At 35.4% G+C, this 15,878-nt stretch overlaps 1 protein-coding gene across 25 annotated transcripts in view; it reads right to left on the reverse strand.

The window, feature by feature from the left end:
• Positions 1–15,878, reverse strand: part of PDE1A (phosphodiesterase 1A) — a 576,757-nt gene that overhangs the window by 52,462 nt on the left and 508,417 nt on the right. For 20 of the 25 annotated variants that reach the window (XM_047444688.1, NM_001395258.2, NM_001395259.2 and 17 more), the window contains 3 exons: positions 13,438–13,563; positions 9,186–9,287; positions 8,937–9,057 (listed from right to left, as the gene is read on the reverse strand). In XM_047444688.1, coding sequence (XP_047300644.1) covers positions 8,937–9,057; positions 9,186–9,287; positions 13,438–13,563 — 349 coding nt within the window. Of the gene's footprint in view, positions 1–3,110; positions 3,257–7,395; positions 9,058–9,185; positions 9,288–13,437; positions 13,564–15,878 lie in introns of those variants that run through there. The other 5 variants (NM_001395266.1, NM_001395267.1, NM_001395268.1 and 2 more) reach the window with 2 other exon arrangements.

The raw sequence follows: 15,878 nt of genomic DNA on the forward strand, positions 1-15,878 counted from the left end.
AGTATAGATTTGGCCACCTTTATAATTTCCTCATTCTGTCCCAGGATAAGGAATATTTATTTTCCATCAAGGTAAAAGCAGAGGTCATCGCAATAAGCATTGTGAAAGAAGAATTTATATTTTTCTTAGAGGTTTCGCTGTCATTTGAGGATGCTGCCTTCAGGGGGCCAAAATACACTTTTAAAAATGAGGAGTAAGTAGAAAAACTAGTCCCATAGAAATGGAAACTCAAGGCAGCCTGAGGTTCTCAGGCCCCACAGCTTATACCTGTCTTTACAATTCCCTGGAGATCCTTCAGGTTTCTTCTCTGAAAGTCTGTAAGAGAACTAGTAATTGTTTTTAAATGCCTTCCTACCATTGTAAAGTGCTCTGACAGCCATTAATAAGGTATGAAATCCATTGACCTAACAGCACCTTTTTGTTGTTGTTGTTTGTTTTTTGCATTTCTCTGAAACCAAAAAAATTTCTATAGTTTTGCTTTGTTTTTGTTTTTCTTTTTTTCTTGAGAGGAGTCTCACTCTGTCGCCCAGGCTGGAGTGCAGTAGCATGGTATCGGCTCACTGCAACCTCCGCCTCCTGGGTTCAAGCGATTCTCCTGCCTCAGCCTCCCGAGTAGATGGGACTACAGGCACCTGCCACCATGCCCAGCTAATTTTTGTATTTTTAGTAGAGACAGGGTTTCACCATATTGGCCAGGTTGGTCTCGAACTCCTGACCTTGTGATCCGTCTGCTCCAGCCTCCCAAAGTGTTGGTATTACAGGCGTGAGCCACCGCGCCTGGCCAGTTTTGTTTTGTTTTGTTTTAATGAAGAAGATAAGACAGGGTAAAGTATAGAAATCTTGAGAAAACTCTTCATTGAAACTTCAATTTTGGAGAAAGAAGCAACGTCGATAACAAATATGCAGGAATCCCCTGACCACAGGGACAGGGGCTTAGGAGACACTCCTCCTAAGGACAGCCTTTGGAGACATTCTAAGGCTGAGGGTGAAATCTGAGAGACCACTGGTTCTATAGAGAATTTGATTGGGAGAGGAGAGGAGCATGCACTAATCTAGCCTTATTTGGAAAATTTAAGGAATTTAGGCCCTCTAATGACCCTTCTTTACTTCTACAAATGGGCCCTTCTAAATTCGAAGAACGCCACGAAAAACATTTAAGCATTTAATAATTACAGCAACTAATACATTCACTTTCAGTAAAATATTGGTCTGATATAACTATATTTCTGTGAATGTTATAAATATTTTATGGAATATTAGAACCCCTGGTGTAATCGGTGTTTATAGTACTTTTATGGCTCTTGAAACTAAAAGCTTTACTTTTTTACATTTAAAGTTATCTTGGCTCATAGCTACAGTTCTTTTCATTTCTGCAATTTTAGGGGTTATGTTTATGATTTTTTTGAAAAGCCAGATCCTTGGCTGAGAATGGACTAAGTACATTTGTATTACTATGGACAATGAAATTTATTTTGAAATAACACACTTTATACTACTTCTAGCAACATTTAAAAATAGAGAGGCCTGACTGTATACAATTCAAGGTAAAGTAAACATTTTGACCTTTCCTTCCAAATAACTTGCATTTCTAATTATTTTTTTCTTCTTGGCTAACAAGGTAATAATGATTAATAAATGCAGATTTTGTTCAAATATAGATTTTTTTCATGTGTCACAAAACAGCTAGTTGAAGAAGGGAAAAATCCACGTAGTTATTGTTATTTAGTTTAAAATACAAACACATTTTGATGGAAGTAACTATTTTTGTAAAAAAATTAACTGCATTGACTTCTTATCTTGCCAACCTGACATGTGTGTTCAAGAGGAGAATAAAAAGCAAAAACCTGTCTTCTTTTACCAATGATTACTTTTTTGGCTGATATTGATCTCTCTCTCCTATCAGTCATAGTTAAAATAAAGCAGCATCCTCCAAATCTACCCATTACTGTCAGTAGGTGTGTTGATCTGCATGAAAACTCGAGGAGACATTAATTGTATTAATAAATATCACAGGCTTGTTGCGAAAATGCCTTGGAAATGAGAACTCGCTCTACTGCCTTTTACCATTAGCAGCTTATTCAAGAGTCAGAAATCAGCGTTTCTCAAGACTGCAAATTCTGGATACAATTCTGATCTCTGGCTAGTTTCTCACGGCTTTAGAGGGTGAAACTAAAGTAGTAGCACTAAAGAATGGGATAACGTTGATGGGATTTTTAAGAATAATACAAATAGCTTGTCTTCCAGAAATATACAGCATTTAAAAAATTCTTAGTGTCTGAGTCCATTTGTTAAATAAAATGAGTTCGGTAGACAAACTAATAAGAAAATGATTTAGAAGTTAACACATCACAAAATTTCTCTGCATTTTTCTGAAATATTCACACACACACACACACACACACACACACACACACACGAACCTTTCTTGAAAGGTTGCTCTTGAAAAATTCTAAAAATCAGCTCTTTCCTTTGCTACTTTTCTGATTTTTTGAATTTCTATCCAGGCTCTAATTTTGTTCAAAACCAATAGAAGGAATTGCAAGTCTAGCATTACATTCTGCAGATCAAAAAGGAAAATACTTCTCTTAATTGGTTACTTTTTAAACTTGATGATTGTGTTGGAAATGTGCTTTTAAATTGTGCCCAGATCTTTAGAAATTCAGCGTTAAGTAACTATCAAACAACAAAATACTTCATAAGCAATGGTGTAGTATACTGATACTTTGCCTCGGAAAGTATAAAGCTTAAAATAGACTAGCAGGATAACAAATACCACCAATTCCTCACATTTGAAGCCCTCTTACTTTTGTTCTATCACTTTGCTCCTCACAATCATCCTGGGAAGTAGGCAGGATGGGAAAAGGTAAGAAGGTGTATAGAGACAGGAAGGGGAAGACTCATGTCTCCCACTCCTGGAAGAATGAGAAGCTAGGGCCTACCCTTGAGTTTTCTGAAGTCAAGTCCAATTATCTCTCTAATTTGCATTATTAGGCTTCTTATGTTTGACCAATGTACATAAAATACAGTCTTTAACAAGAAACACAAGATGTTTACATTTAAACTGTAGCTGAGCACCATGATGAGCTCTGGACAGACCTCTTTTGATTTACCTCAAAATCTCTAGCACAGCCAGTGGAATTTAAGACACAGTATTTAGCTTCTTAGTACCTTCCAAAGGAATGAAGACATATATTTGCAAATTGCTTTGTAAAAGTGCTGTTTTCACTGTCCGAGATGAAAAACCCAGTCACCTTGGCTAAATGCAGAGCAGAATGGTATCAGTACTGTGGGTCTGACAAAGTGACAGTTTTACAGATGGCTATGTGAGGATGAACAAAAATAAAACATACAAGAACCACTGCAGTCCTGCTAATTTCTAGGACATATGCATAGATACATAGACACAGTTCAATATCTTATGTCAAATCAGAGAAATGCATACAGCAAGGAGTTTCAGGTTCATTGCTTATTTACCTCCAAAGGTGTACATTATGCAGTATGACTAAGAATAAGTGAGAGTAATATGGGATTTATTTAGTTAGTTCAATGCAAGAAAACATTTTACCTGTTGGAATTAATATCATATTTCAGTTTAAGTTTCACAAAGAAAAACTTGTTTTGCTTGAAAGACATATTTGTTGGCAGTATAAACTTAATTATTTTGACCTTTAGCTCCACATTTTTCTGTTTTGCTGCATATGTTTCTGAAGGGGATTTGAAAATCGTTTACTTTTAAAAATCCAGAAATTGGTGAACTTTCAACAGATCTGAACTCAATTTCATTGAATTTACTAATCTCATGATCCTGTCAGGTATTCTTTGTCTGTTTTGAAATCAGTAAAACAAAAGGATAATACAAATCGTGATATTATTTGGAGATCTAATGGTAATCTTCAGGAGTCTCTGGGATTTTAGTTTTGTTTTTTCCCACAGTAATTTTTTTAGGGTCTTCTTTAAGTCAGAGATGAGCTACCTTCATTATGATATACTCTTTTTAAAAAAAATTAAAGGGAAATTTATGGGCAAATCTGAAGGGTATAAACAGGAACACTTGTATAATACTTGATTAAGATATAGAGCATTTCCATTACCCCCAGAAAGTTGCCTTAACCTCGTCCAAGGAATCCTAACCCATATAGGCACCTACTGTTCTGATTTCTATCACCATATATTAATTTTGCCAATTTTTGAACTTCATATAAATTGGTTTATAGTATTATTTTGAGATTTATTGTCATTTGTATCATTAGTCTATTTTTCATTGTTGCTGGATATTCCATTGTATGACTGTACCATGATTTATTTTTTATCCATTTCTATTTTTGATGAATATTTGGACTGTTTCTAGCATTGAGTTTTTTTAAGTAGTAGTATAATGACTACTCCTATATAAGACATTTGGTGGGCATAAATACTCATTTATCTAGGGGTAAAAGTGCTGGGTCCTAAGGGATATTAACTATCCCTTCATATTAACTTCAGTAGATGATATCCAGTAGTTTTCCAGAGTGATTGTAATAATTTATCCTCCCACCTGTGATGTATGTATGATACCTCCAGTTGTTCCTCATTTTTGGTAACACCTTATATTTTCAATTATTTTAATTTTAGTCATTCTCATGGGGCTATATGATATTTCATTATGGTTTAATTTATAATTCTTTGATAAGTAAAGAAAATGAACATACTTGTATGTAAGTATTACCTACTTGTACATTTCCTTTTATAAAATATCCATTCAAATTGGCCTGATTTTCTTTTTACTATTGATTTGTTGGAGTTCTATATGCAATTGGACACAAGTCCTTGGACAGATATTTGTAGTACAAATATTTTCTCTCAGTCTATGGTTTGCATTTTCTTAGTAGTGCCTTTGGAAGATCAGAAGTTTTGAGTTTTGCTTTTTTCCACTTCATTTTTTTTTTCTTTTATGGGTAATGCTTTATGTGTCTTCTCTAAGAAATATTTACCTACCCCCGAGATTAGAGAGATCTTCTCTTGCGTTTTCCTCTAAGATCTTTATAGTTTTAGGTTTTGTCTTAAACTCCTTAATTTTGAATTAGTTTTTGTGTTAAGGTGTAGGTAGGGGACAAGTTTCCTTTTCTTCCCATACATTCACTAATTGCTGTTCCATTTCCTTTTGTGGAAAGACTTTCCTTTCCCCATGTAGTTGTTTTGGTGCCTTTGTAAAGATCACATGACATTATATATATGAGCCTGTTTCTGAAATCACTCCTCTATTTTAATGATCTATTTGCCTAGCCCTATGCCCTATGCCAATAACACAGTGCCTTGATCACTGTAGCTTTATACTAACTCACATAAGGAGGAAGTGTAAGTCCTCCAACTTCTTTAATCTTTTTCAAAATTGTTTTAGCTGCCTTAGACTCTTATATTTCTATACAGATTTTAGAATCAGCCTTTCAACTTCTACAAATAAGCCTGTTACAATTTCTGATAAAGATTATGCTAAATTTATTAAAAATTTGTAAGAATTGACATCTTAGAAATATTGAGTCTTTCAGTCATTAACATATCTCTCCATTTATATAGGTCTTAAAATTTCTCTCAAAAATGTTTTGTGGTTTGCAGTGTGGAGGTTTCATATACATTTAATTAAAGGTTTCCCCCAAAATTTTATTATTTTATGCTGTTATAAAGCATACTGTTTTCAATTTTTATTTTCAAATTGTTTGCAGCTTGCATACAGAAACACAATTGATTCTACAACTAATAAACTCATTTATTAATTCTAGTAAGTAGCCTTTTGTAGATCTCTTGAGGTTTTCTATGCAGATGCTCATGTTTCTGCAAATAACAGTTTTATTTATTTTTATTCAAACTATACTTTGTTTTTTATTACCTTCCTACACTGGCTAGAACTTCAAATGCAATGTTGAATAGAAGTGGTAAGAGTACCTATAATGATCTTAGAATAAAAATGTTCAGTATTTCATTGTGAAGTATCACATTCGCTATAGACCTTTGATCAGGTTGAGAAAGGTCTTCTACTTCTAGTTTACTAACAGTTTTTATAATTAATGTCTGTCGAATATTGTCAAATGCATTTTGCATATCTATAGGGTTGATAATTAATATATTTTTTCCTTTATTTCCTTTAATATGGTGAATTACCTTAATTTTTTAATATTAAACTGACTCAAGTTATGATATGATATGCACTATCTTACTAAATTGCTGGATTTGATTTGCTAAAAATTTTAAAAATTAAAAAAAAATTTCTCTTTCAGTTTTATGGCAGATGTGGATGTGTAATTTTCTTTACTTGAAAAGTCTTTGTCAGGTAATGTCGAGAATTATGCTGTCAAATTTTCCTCTTCCTCTATGTCATAAAAGAATTTGTGTAAAACTGGCATTATTTCTTCCTGAAATGTTTGAGAAAATTCTCCATCTCTCAATTGAATTGAATATTGAGAATTGAAATCGGAAATAAGAATTAAAGTCATCTAAGCCTAGAGTTTTCTTCATAAGAAGAGTTAAAGTACAAATTCAACTTTTGAAACAGATATATGAATATTCAGACTACATGATTTTTTCTTGTGTCTGTTTTGGTAATTTATATCTGTCAAAAATTTTGACAATTTCATCTAAGTTTTCAATTTTATTGGCATAAATTGTGCATAATATTCCTCACCCTTTTGATGAATACAGGCTCTATAATGATATTCTCTCTTTCATTTATAGTTTTTTCCTCTTTTTGATCCTGCAAGTAATTTCATTACTTTTTCGGAGAGCCAACTGTTATCTTCATTAACTTTTGTTATTGTTTGTCTTTGTTCTGTTTCACTGTTTTTGGCTTTTATATTTATTATATCCTTCCATCAACTTATTTTGATTCAATTTTCTTAATTTCTAGCTTCTTAAGGTGAAACAGATATAACTTACTTTATTACACATTTTTTTTCTAATGTAAGTATGTGAAGCTATAAAATTTCCCCTAAGCACTGCTTCAGTTGCATCCAACAATTTTCAAATATTATGTTTTCAAAATCATTCAACTTAAGATATTTAAAAATTTCTTCTTAACCTGAAAAATCTTTGTATCTCTTTATTTTTCTGTTTTTGCATCTCTAATGTCACAGGGCTATACAGAAAGATCTCTGGTTGATTGATTGAGTATATCATTATAATTTTTAATTGACCATAATAAGCAGTTGACCTTTAGAATTTGGTAGGTTTTTACATTTAGTGTATTTTTTTAGCACAAAGCAAATTATTAAAATATTTTTCAATACTATTTTTAGGACCAAAATATTTGAATTTAGTAAGATGCTACTCAGTAACTTTCTCTAGGAATATAAATTGCAATATAAAAATGAAACCACACATTATGTCCATCAACAATGGGAGACAGAAACGTGAGTCATCCAAACATAGTAATATATTTGGTGTTTATATCTTCAGAACAGGTATAAAATTAATGAACAAACTTTCAAAATACCACACATTATGTCCATCAACAATGGGAGACAGAAACGTGAGTCATCCAAACATAGTAATATATTTGGTGTTTATATCTTCAGAACAGGTATAAAATTAATGAACAAACTTTCAAAATAAAGAACAATACTGAGAAATGAAATAATCTGAAAATACAGAAATAAAAGAACTTCTCTAAGTGGGACTGTGATATAATAAAACAAAATTATCTGATATTCATTCCCAGTTCCTAGCAGAGCTTCAAAAACCTGTGGAATTTCATGAGTGATAGGAGACTCTAGGCTAATGAGGCAACTCTGGGCCTATCCCCTAGATAGTTTCAGCATAGGGCCTGGTCACCAGAAACCAACCACATGATTAGAAAGTTGGAACTTTAAGCCAGCCAGGGGATATCTGGGAAGGAAGTGAGGCTGGAGACTGAGTTCAATCGCATGTCCAATGGTTTAATCAACCATGCCTATGTAATGAAACCTTGATAAATACTCTGGACAGGAAAGCTCAGTAGAGCTTCCTGGATGGTGAAAACATTGACAAGGCAGGATGGTGGTACTCGCTAACTCCACTGGAAATAGCAAGGAAGCTCTGCATCCAAGACCCTCCCAGACCTTTCCTTATGGGCCTTTTCATTTGGCTCTGCCTGGATTGTATTCTTTATAATAAAATTGTAATTGTAAGGATAGCACTTTTGAAGTTTTGTGAGTCATTCTAGCAAGTTATCAAACCTAGAGAGGGTTGTGGGAACCACTGAACTTGTAACTGGCTGGTCAGAAGTGCTGGTGTCCCACAGCCCCATTTGCAGCTGGCATCTGAAGTAGAGCCAATCTTGTGGAAGACTGAGCCCTTAATTTGTGCAATTTGATGCTAACTCTGAGTGGTTAGCATCACATTTGTATTGTAGCACTCCAGCTTGGATTGTGGGGGTTGCAAAACAGGGACATGTATAAAGAAAAGATGTGTACTTGTGGCAGAGAACGCCAGTCACAATCCTTATCCGGGCTTGTTTCTGACGTAACATTAGATTTTTGTTGTTGTTGTTGTTGCCTATTTCAGTTAGGCATGTGTCCACCCAGCTAAAGCAATATTTCTTGGCCTCCATTAAAATTCTGGCCAACAAGATTTATGCAGAACTGTTATATATCCTTATCTACTCTTTCTATTATGAAAGCTATTTGCTGTCTCTGCTGTGGCACTTACGTCTTAACAGCAGATAACAATTCTTAGCTGCTTTTATTTTTCTTTCCTGACAGTAGCATCTCAGATCCAAAATTTGAATCTCTTTAAAACATGTATCACACTACATAGACTTAATACACCTTTCTGATAGACTAATAAATTTTGCTGAAACCCCCAAGAATGTGTAGGTGGCCAGTTGATAATAGTAAGTCACAAGCCCTGGATTCCATACAGAAAAGGTGTACGCTAATATGCACAGTCACTATTTCCAAAAACATTTGCACAGAGTGTGAAAGAGGCACCTGCAGGAAAAACTCCTCCATTAGGGCCATGGTCCACCGATAATGCAGCTTCCAGGATTTGGCTGGGTGGCTGATGTCTGCTGCGTGGAGAATCAGGGACATGGTTTTGGCTCTGTCAATCCTGTCAAACCAAGGACATGCTTATATTATTCAAAACAAAGGAAACAATTACAGTCTTTTCTGAGGCCAAGCCCCTGGAACTTTAACATGACAAAAAAAAAAAAACAACAAAAAAAACACAAAACCTACCCTTCAGGCTGCTGCAAACTGTTTCTTATATTTTTAATTTGCTGGAAGTGACCTGACATGTCTGTAGATAAAACCATTTCAATCACTAGGTTCCGAAGATCCCTGCAGAGTCACCAAAAGGAGAAAGGTTCATTCAGCCATTTATTGTTCTGAAGTGGAACACTTCAATAAATAATCACTCACCATGTTTTATAGTTCTTAATGGATATGAACACAAAAGATGCTACTTTTTAAATGTGAAAGTCCACACACAAGTTTGATATTATTTTACCTTTTAACTGTCATGGATCTAAGAAGTTGCCAGCAGCGAGAATGGCAACGATGTTCACACCTCCCTGAAGAGCTAGTGCTTTCCCTTCTCACTCCCACAACTCTTCTGCAGTCATAATTCCTAAATATTATTATTTTTAATCTGAAAGGAACTTTAGCCATTTTAAAGAAAAACTATTCCAAATACAGTATTATATAGTATTTCAATGCTTTGAGGAAAAAAAGTAGTCCAGTGGGGCCTGAGACTATTCTAAATCCACATGTCAACCAAACTAAAAGGTTTGATGTCTCAGAGAAGAGACAGAGATAAGAAGAGCATGAGATTTCAAGACCCTATCTGATTCTTCTTCATTTTGCATTTTTAATCAAAACGACTACTATTAATAAAACCAGTGCTATTCATTCAGTATTTATTCAGCAAGGCACTGAACTGTAAGGATTAAATGTCTTCATATAATACCGATAATAAAATACTTTAGCAACTAGTTGCTTTGTATGTATACAAAGACATTTAATCCTCCTAACAATCCTGAGGGAGCATTAATATTTCCCCCCAAAGGAGACTGAGTCACCCAGTCACACAGCTGGTACATGGCTCAGATAAGATTCAACGCAAGAGGTCCCACTTCCAAAGCAGACACATGGACCACTCCTCTGTGCCAAGCTTCCATCATAAGAACCCCAGAGAAACCAAGATGCTAAAGTGAGTAGTGATTTTCTGTTTAAGCTTTTGGGATCTGACCCTCCCTAACATAAAGAGAGCCATTGGTATTACTGACTATTTTAACCAAGGCACTGTAAATACAATAACCATGTCACAAAGCCTCACACTTAGTAGAAAATAAGGCACCCCAGCAAAGCCTTGCATGTTCCACAATTCCTTGTTTGCTCTATACAGATAAGTTAAAAAAGTCACTTGTACTGGAAAACATATTTCATTTTCATTGTGTGGTGTGGCCAGTAGGATAAGCTGAACCAAAAGTGTGAAGGAAACTTGAATTACGATCTTGCACAAAGATACTTTACTTAAAGATGATATAATCTATTTAATTGCCTTTTTAAAAAAACTATATATTGGCTGGGCATGGTGGCTCACGCCTGTAATCCCAGCACTTTGGGAGGCCGAGGCGGGTGGATCACGAGGTCAGGAGATCGAGACCATCCTGGCTAACACGGTGAAACCCCGTCTCTACTAAAAATACAAAAAAAAAAATTAGCCAGCCCTGGTGGCGGGCACCTGTAGTCCCAGCTACTCGGGAGGCTGAGGCAGGAGAATGTCATGAACTCAGGAGACAGAGCTTGCAGTGAGCCGAGATTGCACCACTGCACTCCAGCCTGGGCTACAGAGCAAGACTCCGTCTGAAAAAAAAACAAAACAAAACTACATATTGATGGTTCTTGCTGAAAATCATGAGCACTCAACATTTCTATTGAATTTTTAGATAGAAGCCATGAGAATCAATACTCTGCTTACTTACTTTTATTCAAGTAGTAAGGGAAAGGAAGCTATTAATAAAATTATTCTCAATTACATTTTTTTCGCTGAAAATATGACAAGACCCATATTTGAAAAGCAACTGAATAAGAACATTTATGTTTGCTAAGGAAAATGAGATTAGAGTTTAAGGAAATCAATAGAATCTAATAAGTATATTGTGCTTTGCATATAAATGATCAGTAAATGCTAGATGTTATCAATAACCAACTAATAATATGTCAATAATTAGGCAAAATAAGAAAACATTACTTAATTTATAAAATTTTCTTGTGAAAACTTTTAAATTAATGCATTTATTTTTACTAAAAGTACTTTAAGAAATAAACAGATATGTAAACAGAAAACATCAGTCTTTAAGAAGATATCCATATTTTAATTCTTAGTAAAATGTTATCAAACGTATAGCATCAAATAGGTATTTTATAGATTTTTGGAAAGTGTTGAATCTATTAAATTCTAAAATGTATATAATATGTACACTATTTGTTAAAACAATTCTTTAAAAACATTCAATTAAAATGACTCTGAAGTTACCAAACAGAAACTTAGACAATTACAGCAATAAACTATTAGAATAAAATATTTAAAATGGTAAATAACAAAATATAATAGGAAATAAAATCACACTGAAATAGCAACAAAGTGAACTTTGAGGAAAAAATGTTTATTTCTTTGAATAACAACAAATTAATATTATAAAAATTATCTATGGGAATGGTAATCACTGATTAAGAAAATAAACTAATACCCTAGATGTAAATAATCTCTCTTAGGCTTTAGGAAATATCTCAGAACTTGTCTGCTTGTTCCTACCTTTGCCCATCTAATCGCTACATAGCCCAACAGTGGTCTCTTTAAAATTATTTCACAGTTAGATCCTGGCATTTCTAGACTGTAAATCCTCTTGGGCTACTATTTCCTGCAGAATACAGTTAACCCTTGAACAACATAAGTTTGAACTGTGTGGGACCACTCGTACACATATTTTTTCCCCTCTGTCACACCTGAGAAGCAAAACCAATCCCTCCTCTTCCATTCTCCTCCTCAGCCCACTCCACATAAAGACAGAGGATGAAGGCCTTTTTGATGACCCACTTCCACTTAATAAACAGTAAATATATTTTCTATTCTTTATGATTTTCTTAATAACATTTTCTTCTCTCTAGTTACTTTATTGTAGTAATATTGTATGTAATACAAATAACATACAAATTATGTATTTATCAACTTTTATATTATTGGTAAGGCTTCCTATCCAGAGTGGGCTATTAGTAGTTAAGTTTTTGAAGTGTCAAAAGGTATACATGGGTTTTCAGTTGAATGGGGGTGCCCCAACCCCTGTATTGTTCAAGGGTCAACTGTAAAATGAAAGGCCTGAACTGTGTCTCCAAAAGAAAGTTCCACCTTCCCTCTACCTGACAGCATTTTCTAGAGTTGCAAAAATGAGCCCATATCTCTAGATATGGCCTTGAAGAACCAGGAAACTTTGAAAATTTGAAAAAGTGTTCACAGGAGATTTAGGCTTATTTTAAACTCTGATTTTTATCTTTTACGTTTTTTAATGTTTTTATTGTCACTTTCCTTTTGGATATTTCTTTTTACCTTGATTTAAAAAAACAAAAATGAAAGCAAAAACCTTTGATATTTACATTCAATTGGAAACCTTTTCTAGTCAATTAAATGACTTTTAATAAGATTGTTGTTAAAGATAAATACAGGCCTTTTTCTGTTCTTACTATAAGAGAGTCCCATAGAATATTAGGGACATATACTAAGAAGATTCTATGATTAATGAAGTTCATATTTAATTGATTGTCCTTTACTTTTATTTGTGAAGTCCAGCAACCCTATTGTCAATTGAAGGAGATGATAATGACCAAAGGATCAAGAAAAAGAGAAGAAAGGTTATAAGAGGGATGGGGGTACATCTTGTTATTTTTCCCTACATAGCAACAAGTATCAATATACCATGTAATTTTTTTCAAGCAAACAGATGCTTTGGAGAAACATGTAAGATTTCCTCTGCACTTGGGTCATTTTAGTATATTGGAATTTTTTTCCCACGTTTAACTTTTTGTTTTTAAAAAAACCTTAACTCCACATCTTTTAAAAAAAATATATGAAAGAATGAATATAATGCCAAAATTTTGAATTTATGTAACACCCCATATTGATAAAAATTGAGCAGAGCTCCATTCCAGAGAGTGTGTAATTATGTATATAAAATTATTTGTTGTGTTGTGTGTGGTCTTATTCAGACATATGGATGTTGAGTTGACCTGGAAATACTTCAGGTCCCTTTAACACAGTCTGGCTCTGAACAAAGTCCCTAAGTACTAATCCTTCTCAGAGTCATCCAGTCGACAGTAATTAAGTTTGTAATTTGGGGAATGCATCGACTTTCATCTTTTTTCTTGACTTTAAATCGCATAATTTATTCCTTTCCTGAAATTAAATTTCCTCTAGGTTTTCTCTGAAACTCACCTCCAGTCATCTTTGGATAAATTTATCAAGATATTCATTTCTTCTTCTTGCATAAGTCGATAAGCTGCACTCACGTGGTGATTCTCAAGGACAGAGCGATCATTATACAAAATGGCAACATCTGACCTAAGAATTAAAAACAAAATGCCCAACAGAGGATTTCTTTAGACATCATGAATGTCTAATAAGACTTACTCAAGTATCAAGTCATGTGACCAGAAAACATCCTATAATTGAACAGTGAGAATTATGGAAGTACTTAGTTTCTTTTATTTTTTACTGTATGATATTTTAAAATTTTATATAAACTCTATTAGAGAAGTTTTAGGCTCACAGCAAAATGGAAGTTGGTACAAAATTTCCCATGTACTTTCTTCTACCACACATGCGTAACCTCCCCCATTGTCAACATCCCCAACAAGAGTGGTATTTTTGTTACAATTGATGAACCTACATAGACACATCATTATCATCCAATGTCCACAGTTTACATTAGGCTTCACTCTTGGTGTTGTACATTCTATGCGTTTAGACAAGTGAATAATGACATGTATCTACTATTATAGTACCATACAGAGTAGTTTCTCTGCCCCAAATCCCTCTGTGCTCCACCTCTTCATCCCTTTCTCTCCCCTAACCCTGGCAACCACTGATTTTTTTCACTGTCTCCATAGTTTTGCCTTCTTCAAAATGTTATGTAGATGGAATCATACAGTATGTTGCTGATATGGTTTGGCTCTGTGTCCCTACCCAAATCTTATGTTGAATTGTAATCTCCAGTGTTAGGGGAGGGACCTGGTGGGAGGTGATTGGATCTTGGGGGCAGACTTCCCCCATGCTGTTCTTGTGATAGTGAGTTAGTTCTCATGAGATCTGGTGGTTTAAAAGCCTGTAGCACTTTCTTCTTCGCACTCTCTCCTGCCACCATGTGAAGATGTGCTTACTTCCTCTTCACCCTACCATCATGATTGTAAGTTTCCTGAGGACTCCCAGCCATGCCTCCTGGATGGCCTGTGGAACTGTGAGTTAATCAAACCTCTTTTCTTGATATGTTACTGAGTCTCAGGTAGTTCTTTATAGCAGTATGAGAATGGACTAATACAGAAAATTGGTACTGAGCGTGGGGTATTGCTATAAAGATACCTAAAAATGTGGAAGCAACTTTGGAACTGGGTAATGGGCAGAGGTTGAAACAGTTTGGAGGGCTCAGAAAAAGAGGAAGATATGGGAAAGTCTGGAACTTCATACAGACTTGTTGAATGGCTGTGACCAAAATACTGATAGTGATACAGACAGTGAAGACTAGGTTGAGGACGTCTTAGGTAGAGATAAGGAGGTCTTAGGTAGAGACGAGGAACTTATTTGGGACTCTGAGTATTTGAGTACTTATTTGAGTAAAAGTCACTCTGGCTATGCTTTAGCAAAAAGACTGATGGCATTGTGCCCCTGCTCTAGAAATCTGTGGAATTTTGAACTTGAGAGAGATGATTTAGGGTATCCGGTGAAAGCAATGTCTAAGCAGCAAAGTGTTCAAGATGTGGTTTGGCTGTTTGTAAAAGCCTATGCTCATTTGCATAAAGAAAGAAATTACCTGAAACTGGAACTTATATTTAAAAGAGAAGCAGAGCATAAAAGTTTAAAATAGTTGCAGCCTGACCATGAGGTAGAAAAGAAAAACCCATTTTCTGGGGAGGAATTCAAGGCTGCAAAAATTTGCATACGTAAAGAGAAACCTAATGTTAATAGCCCAGACAATGGGGAAGATGTCTCCAGGGCATTTCAGAGACCTTCATGGCAGCCCCTCCTATCACAAGCCTGAAGGCCTAGCAGGGAAAAATGGATTCATGGGCCAGGCCTATGGCCTCCACTGCTCTGTGCACGCATCCTGGACATTGTGCCCTGCATCCCAGCTGCTCTAGCTCCAGTCGTGGCTGAAAGAGGACAAGGTACAGCTCAGGCCATTGCTTCAGAGGGTGAAAGCCCCAAGCCTTGGTGGCTTCTACATGGTATTAGGCCTGTAGGTATGCAGACAGTAGTAATTGAGGCTTGGGAGCCTTTGCCTAGATTTTGGAGGATGTATGGAAATGCCTGAATATCCAGGAAGAAGTCTGCTGCAGGGGCAGAGGCCTCATGGAGAACCTCTAGTAGGGCAGTGTGGAGGGGAAATGTGGGGTTAGAGTCCCCATAGTCCTCACTGGGGCACTGCCTAGTGGGGCTGTGAGAAGAGGGCTACTGTATTAGTCCATTTTCACAATGTCATAAAGATAGTACCTGAGGCTGGGTAATTTATAAAGGAAAGAGGTTTAATTGACTTACAGTTCTGCATGGCTGGTGGGGGCAGGGGCCTCAGGAAACTTACAATCATGATGGAAGGCAAAGGGGGAAGCAAGGCACATCTTAAATGGCAGCAGGAGAGAGAGAGTGCAGGGGGGATGCTGCCA

Source organism: Homo sapiens, chromosome 2, assembly GCF_000001405.40.
Source record: "Homo sapiens chromosome 2, GRCh38.p14 Primary Assembly".
NCBI classification, from domain to species: domain Eukaryota; kingdom Metazoa; phylum Chordata; class Mammalia; order Primates; family Hominidae; genus Homo; species Homo sapiens.